At 36.1% G+C, this 13,509-nt stretch overlaps 2 protein-coding genes across 5 annotated transcripts in view; one reads left to right on the forward strand and one right to left on the reverse strand.

Moving 5' to 3' along the window:
- THNSL1 (threonine synthase like 1) overlaps positions 1–5,785 on the forward strand; it is a 74,301-nt gene extending 68,516 nt beyond the window's left edge. For all 4 annotated transcript variants that reach the window (XM_017016665.2, XM_047425764.1, XM_005252597.4 and 1 more), the window contains 2 exons: positions 863–1,029; positions 2,297–5,785. In XM_017016665.2, coding sequence (XP_016872154.1) covers positions 2,345–4,576 — 2,232 coding nt within the window. In that variant the 5' untranslated portion in view covers positions 863–1,029; positions 2,297–2,344 and the 3' untranslated portion in view covers positions 4,577–5,785. The remainder of the gene's footprint in view (positions 1–862; positions 1,030–2,296) is intronic.
- ENKUR (enkurin, TRPC channel interacting protein) overlaps positions 1–13,509 on the reverse strand; it is an 80,343-nt gene that overhangs the window by 38,895 nt on the left and 27,939 nt on the right. The window lies entirely within an intron of this gene.

Here is a 13,509-nt window from a genome sequence, read left to right on the forward strand (position 1 = left end):
ATAGGAGGTTAATCAGACTGTTTTATGTAAGTGCCCTAAAAGCAGTTTGTGCTTTTAAAGTCCAGTACCAGAATATGGTTTAATAAAATAAATTGATGTTATGGTTCAAGTATATAATTCTTTCTGGTCCCTGGTTTACTTCAGGGAAAGGATTAGACTGTGCATGGCAAAACAGTTCTTGATTCGTGGGTGAACACCACGGTATTCTCTGAAGGTTTATAAACCAAACCATAAAAAAAATGCACCCTGCCTTGTACCTACATATTTGGGTTCAATTTATATATTCCTAGCCCACTGTCAGTGAGTGACAATGATTAATCTTACTGTAAATATTTTGTGCTAACCACTATGATATGTGCTTTGATTTTATTATAGACACTTATATAGCTAAGAGGTATCTTTTTGTGGCAAGAGTTTTATTTGGGCTTTTTATAGTGGATATTATTACATATGAATATATAGTGATTTTGATAGATAATATAGCCTAAAAAACAACTCAGACACTAATTTCATAGCTTTAGTCTGCTGACTTTTTCCCCTCTGATCATTATACAGCCAAATCATTAAAATTCCAGATATCCTTCTGAAAAGTTTTATATTTGTTATTATTTGGTTTTTTATTGCTTGATGGTAGAAATTCCTTCAGTACTGTTTAGTGAAATTCTTTTTATAATGAGACACACATGTTTAAAAACAGTATTTTAATCTTCTAATAACAGATTTGGGGAAACATATGAAAAGGGTCAATTTTTCTGTATTTTTAAAATTTCAGATGAGCTTTTCAAATAATAGACTAGTCTATGTGTAGAATTTTATGATACTCTATACAGTTATGATTAACTTAAATTTTTTTCCATTATAGACTCCACGTTTTGCAAAGATCGGTTTTGCCTCAGAGTCAACAAACTCTTCAGATTGGTTCCGGTGTGTCCTATGTTTACAAGTCAGTGGAAATTAAGCACAACACATATAAATTGAAAAGTCAAATAAGGAAATGAATTACCTCCCTTGACGGCTCTAATTTTACTTGTAAGTTAAATTCAGAGTTAGCTTAAAATCATTTAAATGTTTAATTACAGAACAGAGTTTAAGTAGCATAGAAAGTCAGTATTACATGATTAAAAGTTTTCAGAACATATTTTAACATATGATCTAGTATTTAATATGGTTTAGTTGCATATTGCTTCTACCAGAGAACACGTGATAAGCCCCACTATGTGTCTGTGACATTACTTCAGGCAATTTACATGAACATTGCACAGGTATTATACTGCATTTTACGTAACTAAAAACTTGACTTGTCTGGCATACATTTTTGTTTTAATGGTGAGTATATTTCCAAAGACAAGGACTTGGTCAATATGGGAAATTATAGAGCTTCTTTGGATGCCAGAATAATTGTTGTCTCTCATCATTGGAAACATTCCTGAGGTTCTTGGCTGTGGCCCTGGGGTCTGGAAATTGAGTTAAATCTCTCCACTGATGATTATAGGGTTAGAAACAAAAGTGATGGTTCTGTGCAGATAAGGTTATATGTAGCCTTTGACCTCATTGCTGATTATTAATTTTTCTTAACTATTTGTATAATATACCTTTCACCTTGGCTCTTTTTAAAGCCTTCAATATGAATAATATGTAACAATGATTCTTAATATGCGTGTAAAAGGCACATAAGAAAGAAAATGTCATACCTTTGTCCTGTAGTTTGGAAAACTAAGCATTTTATAAGCAAATATGTTCTTTTATTCTGGTTTCCTGTTATGACTTCTATAAGAAATTTATGAGTAATATAGTCTGTCACAATGTTCATATAACTGAAGAGAAATTAAATATAAAGAATATTGTTCAACTTTTGTGAATTGCAAGTAGATAGCACTCCAACTCCAAATCATCTTTATATGTGATATAAACTGATAAACCATGAAATAATTTTCATTAAAAGATCTCAATATGAAAAGAAATAGTAATTTGATTTAGTGTATATATACTTTTAAAAGCATCTACAATCTGGCACTTTGTGAATACAAGTTTCTGTTTTTTATAGTTACAAATTTTGTCAAAGTTTTGATTTTTCAGTGTCTTGAGATTTTAAAAGATATCATTAAAAGGATAATATGCAATATATAAGAATTTGGGTTGGAATACTTTTTTTAATTCCATAAGTTTGGAAGATTTTTAAACAGTTTATGTACCATGGGCATGGTTATATTCAGTCCTATTGGGATTTTAACAATCTACTGTAATTAGTAACCAAATTATCTTTTGTTGTTTTTTGTTTGTTTTGTGTTTTGAAAAGGGCTAAAGCCAATTTTTAGGTTGGCTTGGGCAGAAAAGTGAAAAGAGAATGCTCCACTTTAACCGATGTCATCATCTGAAAAAGATAACACAGAAATGTTTTTCTAGTATACATGTTAAAACGGATAAACATGCACAGCGATTTCTTTCAAGAACCTTTGCACTTGCGGAATTGAGGAAGTCATGGTATTCAACCCACTCTCTTGTTGGAGACAAAAATATTATCCTGATGGGACCTCCTGGTGCTGGGAAAACAACAGTAGGCAGAATAATAGGTCAGAAACTAGGTTGTTGTGTCATAGATGTGGATGATGATATCCTTGAAAAAACCTGGAATATGAGTGTGTCTGAAAAATTACAGGATGTTGGTAATGAGCAATTTTTAGAAGAGGAAGGAAAAGCTGTGTTAAACTTCTCTGCATCTGGAAGTGTGATTTCCCTTACTGGGTCCAATCCAATGCATGATGCTAGCATGTGGCATCTGAAGAAAAATGGAATAATTGTATACCTGGATGTACCTCTACTAGATCTAATTTGTCGTCTAAAATTAATGAAGACAGATAGGATTGTAGGTCAGAATTCTGGAACATCTATGAAAGACTTACTTAAATTTAGAAGACAGTATTATAAGAAGTGGTATGATGCTCGTGTTTTCTGTGAAAGTGGGGCTTCCCCAGAGGAGGTAGCTGACAAAGTGCTGAATGCAATTAAAAGATACCAAGATGTGGACTCGGAAACATTCATTTCAACAAGACACGTTTGGCCTGAAGACTGTGAACAGAAGGTTTCAGCAAAATTCTTTAGTGAAGCTGTAATTGAGGGGTTGGCTTCTGATGGTGGCCTCTTTGTTCCTGCAAAGGAGTTTCCAAAATTAAGCTGCGGGGAGTGGAAAAGCCTAGTAGGAGCAACCTACGTAGAAAGAGCACAGATACTGTTGGAAAGATGTATCCATCCTGCAGACATACCTGCTGCCAGGTTGGGAGAAATGATTGAAACTGCTTATGGGGAAAACTTTGCCTGCTCAAAAATTGCTCCTGTCAGGCACCTTTCAGGCAACCAGTTCATCCTGGAGTTGTTTCATGGACCAACAGGATCATTTAAAGATTTGTCTTTACAGCTTATGCCTCATATTTTTGCACACTGTATCCCACCAAGTTGCAATTATATGATACTTGTAGCTACTTCAGGAGACACAGGGAGTGCAGTCTTAAATGGTTTTAGTCGTCTAAATAAGAATGATAAGCAAAGGATAGCTGTGGTTGCATTTTTTCCTGAGAATGGAGTAAGTGATTTTCAAAAAGCACAAATAATTGGCAGTCAGAGAGAAAATGGATGGGCAGTGGGTGTTGAGTCAGATTTTGATTTTTGCCAGACAGCTATAAAAAGAATTTTTAATGATTCTGATTTTACTGGCTTTCTTACTGTGGAATATGGAACAATCTTAAGTTCGGCTAACTCCATAAACTGGGGCCGACTACTTCCGCAGGTAGTTTATCATGCTTCCGCATATCTTGATCTTGTTAGTCAAGGATTTATTTCTTTTGGAAGCCCAGTCGATGTCTGTATTCCCACAGGAAACTTTGGTAACATTTTAGCAGCAGTGTATGCCAAAATGATGGGAATCCCGATTCGAAAATTTATCTGTGCCTCTAATCAGAACCATGTTTTGACTGATTTTATAAAAACAGGACATTATGATCTAAGGGAAAGAAAACTAGCACAAACCTTTTCACCGTCAATAGATATTCTCAAATCTTCAAACCTAGAACGACATTTACACTTGATGGCTAATAAAGATGGACAGCTAATGACAGAATTATTTAATCGATTAGAAAGTCAGCATCATTTCCAGATAGAAAAGGCTCTAGTTGAGAAACTTCAGCAGGATTTTGTAGCTGACTGGTGCTCTGAGGGAGAGTGCCTAGCAGCTATTAACTCCACCTATAATACTTCAGGGTATATTTTGGATCCACACACTGCTGTTGCAAAAGTGGTTGCAGATAGGGTGCAAGACAAAACTTGCCCTGTGATTATCTCATCTACAGCCCATTACTCAAAGTTTGCACCTGCTATCATGCAGGCTTTAAAGATTAAAGAAATCAATGAGACTTCATCAAGTCAGCTCTATTTGCTGGGTTCATACAATGCATTACCTCCACTGCATGAGGCTTTATTAGAGAGAACAAAACAGCAAGAGAAGATGGAGTACCAGGTCTGTGCAGCTGATATGAATGTCTTGAAGAGTCATGTGGAACAACTTGTCCAAAATCAATTCATATGAAAGCTTTCAGAGTAAATTTTTTTTTCTAGCTATAAGCATGCAATAATAAATCTCAAACACTGATTTGGAGTACAGTAGCATTTTGTCTTTTATGTAAATATCTCTATATCTGTTTGGAATTTCAAAAGTCTGATCTCTAGGGCTGACATGAGAACTCCATGTCACCTCCTCAGATCTTTAATCTGGAAGTGACAAAAGGTAACACAGTGCACGGACCTTTGAGCTATCATACTTTTGCCTTCTGCTCATGAGGGGTGTATCAATTTCCACTCCCACACCCTCACTGTTATGTGGACCAAAATGTCTGGTATACTATTTGGCGATTAAAATATTTAAGCCCAGTTTTCAGGTACTACATCTGTAACTAGTGAATACTCTGTTGATTAGAAAGTTAATTTACCACTCAAAATGGCTAACTTGAATGGAGGAAGTAGTAAACTCTTCTATTAGGATTTGGGCCAGTGTTTTTTGTTTGTTTTTTGGTGCAGTTTCAGCTCACTGCAACCTCCGCCTCCCAGGTTCAAGTGATTCTCCTGCCTCAGCCTCCCAGGTAGCTGGGATTACAGGCATGCAACACCACACATGGCTAATTTTTTTATTTTTAATAGAGATGAGGTTTCGCCATGTTTTCCAGGCTGATCTTGAACCTCTGACCTCAGGTGATCCATCCACCTCGGCCTCCCAAAGTGCTAGGATTACAGGCGTGAGCCTCTGCACCTGGCTAGGGCCAGTGTTTTTAACCCTCCTCAAATTCCATTTTGGACTACAACTAATGTGTATCTCACACTGTCCAAATTAAAGATGTACTCTGTCCTTCACTCTCCTTTGGATGTGTACGGTTAGGGTGACGATGTTTGAAAATCAACACATAACTGAAATCCAGGATGAAACAGTAAGCAGAACTACTTAGAAGTGAATACAGAAATGATCTATTTCAAGAGGAAGGTTTTCCAAAATTAAGAGTACTTGAGTAGTCTCAATAGGAGTGTATTTGTAGACAGCAGTTTCCCTATATTATTTGGAGTCAATTCTTACGTAATTTGTTGTTTATTTCTTCAGTGAACATTGTCTTTTTCTGGCAGCTGAAACTGCACACAACTGATACACATATTTAATTTGTATTCCTTTGTAGTAATACATTTTAACCATGATTTATGTTTGTGAATTTACTGGATGTTTTCTTTCTGAATTAAAGATTGTCAAGACCAATTAGTGTAATGGACTACTGTCAACCACAAGATGGCATTCCTAACATAATTTGTCTTTGATAACATTCAGTTTCATTTTCTGGGAGAACAACCTCCATAAAGAAATATATTGAAAGTTGTAATGAAAACATTTTAATAGTTTAATAAGCAAGAGAAATTTGTTTTAATTTTTTTAAAATTAAACCAATTATATATTAACACCAGATCTCTGGCTTAGCTTCTAAAAAGGAGGTTCTAAAACCAAAAATTGAAAATCAGGAGCAGTTATAGGAAAAAAATGGAAGATTCAAAGTTACGTTTGTTCATGTATGTCTTTATTATTTTATCATTTACTTTTAAGGATATTTCAGTAGATGATATATTTAGAAACTGCCTCTAAATATTCACTATACATAAGAATGCATTATTTTGCTTGGCATGGTGGCTCACACCTGTAATCCCAGCACTTTGGGAGGCTGAGGCAGGCGGATCACCTGAAGTCAGGAGTTCGAGACCAGCCTGACCAACATGGAGAAACCCTGTCTCTACTAAAAATGCAAAAAAATAGCCGGGCGTGGTGGCAGGCACCTGTAGTCCCAGCTAGTCGGGAGGCTGAGGCAGGAGAATGGCATGAACCCGGGAGGCGGAGTTTGCAGTGAGCCGAAATCGCGCCACTGCCACTCCAGCCTGGGTGACAGAGCAAGACTCCCGTCTCAAAAAAAAAAAAAAAAAAAAAAAAAAAAAACTAGCCAGGCATGGTGGCGCATGCCTGTAGTCCCAGCTACTTGGGAGGCTGAGGCTGGAGAATCACTTGAACCTGGGAGATGCAGGTTGCGGTTGAGCAGAGATTGCGCCGTTGCACTCCAGCCTGGGCAACAAGAGCAAAACTCCGTCTCCAAAAAAAAAAAAAAAGCATTATTTTTCTGAAAGTGAGAGGAACAGTGTTTTAAAAGACATGATTTCTGGCTGGGCGCAGTGGCTCATGCCTGTAATCCCAGCACTTTGGGAGGCCGAGGAGGGTGGATCACCTGAGGCCAGGAGTTCAAGATCAGCCTGGTGAAACCCCATCTCTACAAAAAATACAAAAAATTAGCTGGATATGGTGGTGCACACCTGTAGTCCCAGCTACCCATGAGGCAGAGGTTGCAGTGAGCTGAGATCACACCATGCACTCCAGCCTAGGGAACAGAGCAAGACTCTGTCTCAAAAAAATAAATAAAAATAAAAAAGACATGATTTCTGCCTTCAAGAACTGTAGTTAACGAGACAACGCAAAAATTCAGTCGTACAAGCAAAAGAGTTATTGCAAGATGGTGTGTCAATAAGTGAAAAATGAGTGATAACAGCTAAGTAGCTAAAGTGCTGTAAGATTTAAGAGGAAAGGATTACTATGGGATAGTCAGAAAAGGTCTCACAAAGGACATAGAATCTAAGATGAATCTTGAAGGATGGGAAGATTTTCTAGGTGAAAAGGAAGGGGGAAAACATTCTAGCAGAGGCAGGAGAAACAGGGAAGATGAAATGCCCAAGGGTTCATGTGTATTTATTTGTGGACAGCACATTTTCTTACTGGCCAAAATAGTTATTTCATGTCTTCACTTTTTCTCAAAACCAACTCTGGCCCTTCACTCTCAGCTAATAACTTTGCTTCATTCTAGAGGAACAAGTGACCATACATAACACACCTCAGGCTTCCCATCATCAAGTGTATATGTTTGCTGCATCCATTTCTGTCCCTTTCCCCGCCCCTTTGATTGAATTGGGTGGCATTCCTTCTCTTTTTAAAGGCCAGTCTCTTTAGATGTGCCTTGGATCCTATTCCCTTCAACCTACTTAAATGGTGTGTGTCATCAGGTACCTTCCTCTTGTTTCTTCAACTTCTCCCCTTCTGTGTAACCTTTCTTCTTATGGTATTTAGAGTCTTTCTGTACTTTAGCATAAGAACAAAATCTCTGTGAACATCCACCTTTTTCCCATCTGTGCTTCTTTATTCTCCAATCAAGATAAAGCTCTTCACAGAGTTATCTACATACATGGTCTCCACTTTCCTGCCTGTCTTTTTCTCCAGAGTGTAAAATATATGTACAGTTTAAGGATAAGCATTAAATACCTAAGTATTCACCACCTCACCCAATGGAACACAACTCACCTTTGGTTCTTCTTTGATTGATTAGATTCGCTTTCTTCCTCCAGCTGTAACTACATCATACATTTTCTGTTATTCATTCCCTTTCTCATAGTTCTGCATTGTTTAGTTCTGACTCTTTGAATTTTATATAAATGGAGTCATACTTTATGTGTTATCCCATGACCTATTTCTTTTGCTCAGAGACTTCCAAATTCATCCATTCAGATGAATGAAGCCACAATTCATTGAATTGTATTACTAAATAGTATTCTATTGTATGAACACCACCATCCACTTACCCACTACTGGACATTTGTCTAATTTTTATCTCTTCTTGTATCCAATAGATATACTGTTTTTTAAAATTTATGTTGAAGGTTAGTGACTGTAAACTTCTTAACATTTGTGACTCTTCTTAATAGCATGTAAAACCATTTTTTATGTCAACATTAAAAATCTATGAGTTTATGAAATGAAAATTGATTAATTTTCAGGCTATGGTTATAATTTCTAGCTTTCACTGAAATTAATTTAAATAGCCTAAATGTAGGGAATTTGTAAGATATTTGAGAAAAATGAGATTTTTAAGTTACATATTTATGGAAATTATAAAATGTTTTCATCAAAATAGAGTTTAGAAGACAATAAATTGTTTTGTATGAAGTTTTAGTTAGATTTTAATAGCAATTCACTTTCAAAAATAATCATGGATGGCAAATATTGTTTCAATCCATTAAATCGTTTATAAACCTTTTGTAATTCAGACTACGTAATGTTAGTTAAAAAAAAAATCATGAAGTAACTGTTTTCAAATCCATGGAAACATAATACTGTTTTTGTCCCTATCCAGGAAAATGAATACAATCTACGTATGAAAAAGTAGTTTGTGTAGGCCTCATCTGTGCACTCCAGCCACTCAAATCTTCAACTTTTTATCATTTTGAAACTTTTGCTTTCAAAACAAACAGTCTCCTTCAAAAACAAATATGCTTTTCTGACTCAAAAAAGCCAAGCCAAGAAAGTTGCCAATGTCATGGAAAAGGGACATGTCAAGTGCAAGCAACTAAATCACCATAACTGATATCTGGCAATACTTTGATCAGCTGGCAATATTTTGATCATAGTCCTACATCAGAAGTTGGGATTGCCTTGTAGAAGGATGCTGTAGTCACATTAGCTGCTTTTCTTTTTAAAATCAGAACTCTTTGTTTCTTAGATCTGAGTTAGGGTTCTCATTTAATTGGTACTAACAACTGTTCATTAGGTAATCCAACGATTTTATCTTTTTCTTGAAGATTTCCCCTCTTGAGTGCCTTTCCTGTTTTAAGGCAGGCTGGTTGATTTATAGGGAGACTACCCTATAGGGTCTCTCTAGTCACCTTTCCTTTCTATTCACATTGTCCTTCCATCTTTCTCCTGAGTGGATCCAGTTTCTTCCTTTTACTTCGTTTATTCCATAATTTTGATAGAACTCACTCTCCAGTAGCTTCCTCTGATAATGTTGTGATTTTAGCGTGTGCTTTTAATTATTTGAGAAATTGCTTGTCTAACAATGTCTTTATTCCATTGCAGACTAGATTAATATTTTGCTGTGTATAGACTAGATTAATATTTTGCTGTATATAGAATCCTAGGTTGGAAGTAATTTTTTTCCTCAGAAATTTGAAGGTATTGCTCCACCACCAACTTCTAGGTTCTCTTATTGTTTTTGATAAGTATAATGTTATTCTGATTCTTGATTTTTAAAATGTAATCTGTTTTTTTCCTTTCCTGTAGAAGCTTTTAGGATCTTCTCTTTATGGTCAGGGTTCTAAAATTTCATGGCAGTATTTATTGGTACAAGTCTTTGTGCTTGTTTGTTTTGCTGCTGGAGCACTTTGATGGGCTTTCTCAATATGGAAATTTATGTCCTTCAGTTCTGATAATTATGATAAAACTTATTTTTGAATTTCTTTTTCCTATCTTATATTGTCTGTTCTTTCTTTCTCAAACTCCTATTTTAGGGATTTTGGACACCTTAAAGTGATCTTGTGTGGTGTGGAAGATTGATTCTAAAGATAGTGCTTGGCCAGGTGAGGTGACTCATGCCTGTAATCCCAGCATTTTTGAGGTGGAGGCAGGTGGATCACCTGAGGTCAGGAGATTGAGACCAGTCTGACCAACATGGTGAAACCCCGTCTCTACTAATAATACAAAAATTAGCTGGGCATGTTGGTGGGCACCTGTAATCCCAGCTACTCAGGAGGCTGAGGCAAGAGAATTGCTTGAATCCGGGAGGCAGAGATTGCAGTAGCCAAGATCACACCATTGCACTCCAGCCTGAGTGATAGAGTGAGACTCCGTCTCAAAAGTAAAAAATAATAAATAATTAAAGACAATGCTCAGTGATACCTCCCAAACCTTATGTGCATGCTATTCCTCACATCAACAAATGAAATCCATGTTCCCTTTCCTTGAATCTGGGCTGATCTTGTGACTTGCTTTAATCAATAGAAAGTGGCAGAAGGTATATGGGATTTCAAGACCAGGCCATAAGGGTGCTAGACACTTCTACTTCCTACATTTTTTTTATGTAAAGATACTTGGCGCGGATTACCTCATAATGAAAGGTCATGTGGAAAGAGGCCTTAGAGGGTGAAAGGACATCTTGGAATATTGAGCCCTGGCCAAGTTACCAGGTGAGTGTAGCAAAAGAGCAGAAGACATGCTAAACTGAACCCAGTCAACCCACAGAACATTGAGAAATAATAAATTGTTTTAATTCACTAAGTTTTGGGGTAGTTTGTTATAAAATATTAAATAACTGAAACACCCTCTAATTCTCTAGAATTTTTCTTTCCCATGTCCCATTTCTTTTTCTTTCTTTGAATTCATCCATTTATCCTTTCTGGGAGGGATTCCACTTTCTGGGTTTATTTCTCCTTGTTAACTTTTCTGTTATAGGTTACCATTGTCACGTTTTTAGTTCTTTTTTTTTTTCTTTTAAATTTTTAAATTGCTTTCTGTTCTTGTTTCATGGATACAAAAGTCTTTTTTTTTTTTTTTAAACTCTTTAAGGAATTTTTAAAGCCTTTTTCTTTTCCTGTAGAGATGGGATTTTGCTATGTTGCCTAGACTGGGCTTGAGCTCATGGCCTCAAGTGATCCTCCCACCTCAGCCTCCCAAAGTATTGGGATTAAAGGCTTAAGCCACTGTGGCCAGCTAAGGAATTTAATTATAGTTAGAAAATTCATTTGAAATTTGTTTCTGTTTCTTCTGAAGTCCACTTTTTGTTTGCTTGTTTTGGTCTCTGTCTTTCCTATTGAGACATTCCTCAAGTGTTTAGTGATCTTCCTCTCTTATTCCCATTTAATTTTCAAGTAGCAAGAAATTGATTGGAAACCATATCCTGGATGGGCCTTATCAATTGCTGGACTTCACTGTATGATTATGAAACTGGGCTATTTCAGTGGGTACCGTCAATTCTATCTGTAGGACTTTTCTTTTAGCCTCTTTAGGCTTCCTGGAAAGAAATCCTCCAGGGAATTAGAATCAGAGTAAAGAAGGGGGGGGGGCTATGATCGTTACCATTCAACATGTAGATTTTTCAGTATGGAACCTCTCACTGTTTTGTGGTGTTGGCATGTACTATTTCTGCTCTCACCTATGCCTAATATCCCAGAATTTGAAGTCTCTCCGTAGAATAAGCGCTTAATCCTAATCAGCAGTCACCCTGCTACATGGGGTGGGGAACAGTTTCCAAGGCTGTAACTGCTTTTTATACAGATTTTCGATGAATTCTCTTGTTCTTAGTTCTATACTCCTTTCCCCCAAACCCACCTCCTGGTTCAGAAGTAAATGTTATCTCTAATTCTTGAACTATTTTAGGGTCTTGACGTCCTAATCAGCCAAATTTTGAAGTTTTCATGCCAGAGACATAGATCTCAACTTTCCCTAGTCTATTAAAGTAGTAATTTATGTGTTTTCTGGCCTCCAAACTGCTACTGCTGGTCTCTTCCCCTGCTGTATTTGTCAGCTTATGACTTTCCTTTTTCATGGATTTACTGCCATTTTAGTGGTGCCAAAACAGCAATCCAGTGGTGTGACCTGGGAATCGTTTCTGGTGCTAGCCTCTAAAGTCGATCCCTGGCTTTCCTGGAGAATATTTTGTCCATTTATTATCTCTTAATAAATTTATTTTATGCTTAAACTTGTTGAGAGTTACTTTTATTATTTGCAATTAACAATCCTGATTAATATATTACTAAATGATGATTACAGGTAAAAGTAGTGATACTGACGTCAACTACTATAGAGTAGGTAAATATTTCTAAGTTGGTTCATTAAACTTAAATAGTTTTAGCAAAAACAAACAAAAATCTTTGTTCAGCAGGGCACAGTGGCTCATGCTTGTAATCCCAGCACTTTGGGAGGAGAGCTTGAGGCCAAGAGTTCAAGACCAGCCTGGTTAACATAGGGAGACCTCTCTACAAAAATTTAAAATATTAGCAAGGCATGGTGGTGCATGTCAGTAGTCCCAGCTATTTGTGAGGCTGAGGCAGGAATATTGCTTGGGCTCAGGAATTTGAGGTTGCCGTGAGCTATGATTGTGCCACAGGTCTCCAGTCTGGGTGACAGAGGAAGACCTCGTCAAAAAAAAAAAAAAAAAAAAAAAAAAATCTGTGGTCCAATACTTATAGTAAATGTGCCTTCCATATTTCCTTTTTATAGATTTATAATGCATATTAGCCAATTAATCCTACATTAGGGAAACTCATTTCAACTTTGCGTAACCCTTTCTTCCCAAACTTCTTTATCAAGGAAAGGAAAACTTGTAAATATTTTGCAGGAAACAGTTCAAAAATATTGGAATAGGTGAATATAAGCTGGAGAATTTAGAGCAGTTTAATGGGTCCTAAAATAGTGCTTCTAAACCATGTATGTTTGGTTTTTGAAAAATCAAGAAAAAACAGTGAAAGTGCAACATAAAATTTGTAGAGATGCAGCCATAGTGGAATTTAGAAATGTATGGCCTGAACTGTGTTTAGTATGTATGTATGTATGTGTGTGTGTGTGTCTATCTATCTATCTATCTATCTATCTATCTATCTATCTATCAATCATCTATTGTCTGTCTGTCTCTATCTGGATGTGGACGTACATCTATCTCTCTCTCTATATATATGTATTAAAATAAATGAGCAAGTGTTCAGTTAAAGAAACTAAAAAGAGAACTAGTAAACCCAAATACAGATTTAGGAAAAAAGGAAAATACCAACAAACATTCATGACTAAAGTACATTTCTACATCAGTCACAACCATAGGTTAACTATGAATGTGAAAATTATGCAAAAAAAAATGAAAGCATTCTGTGAAATCAAAAATTTACAGTAAAACGTATTATTTATTTTTATTTGTAATTTTGTGTTACAGATTGTTTATATCAGTAAAATTTATAATAAACTTATATGTACACATACAAACTTTTTCAGAGAGCCACTTCCTACCACTGCACTATGTGGCAAACACATGGTATTACCTTTCTAAAATCTGAAAATATTTGAATTCCACAACCCAATTACCCTATGGGTTTTAGAAAAGCAATTGTGAACCTATTCATTTTAGCATAACATAGTTT

This window comes from Homo sapiens, chromosome 10 (assembly GCF_000001405.40).
Source record: "Homo sapiens chromosome 10, GRCh38.p14 Primary Assembly".
In the NCBI taxonomy this organism is placed as follows: domain Eukaryota; kingdom Metazoa; phylum Chordata; class Mammalia; order Primates; family Hominidae; genus Homo; species Homo sapiens.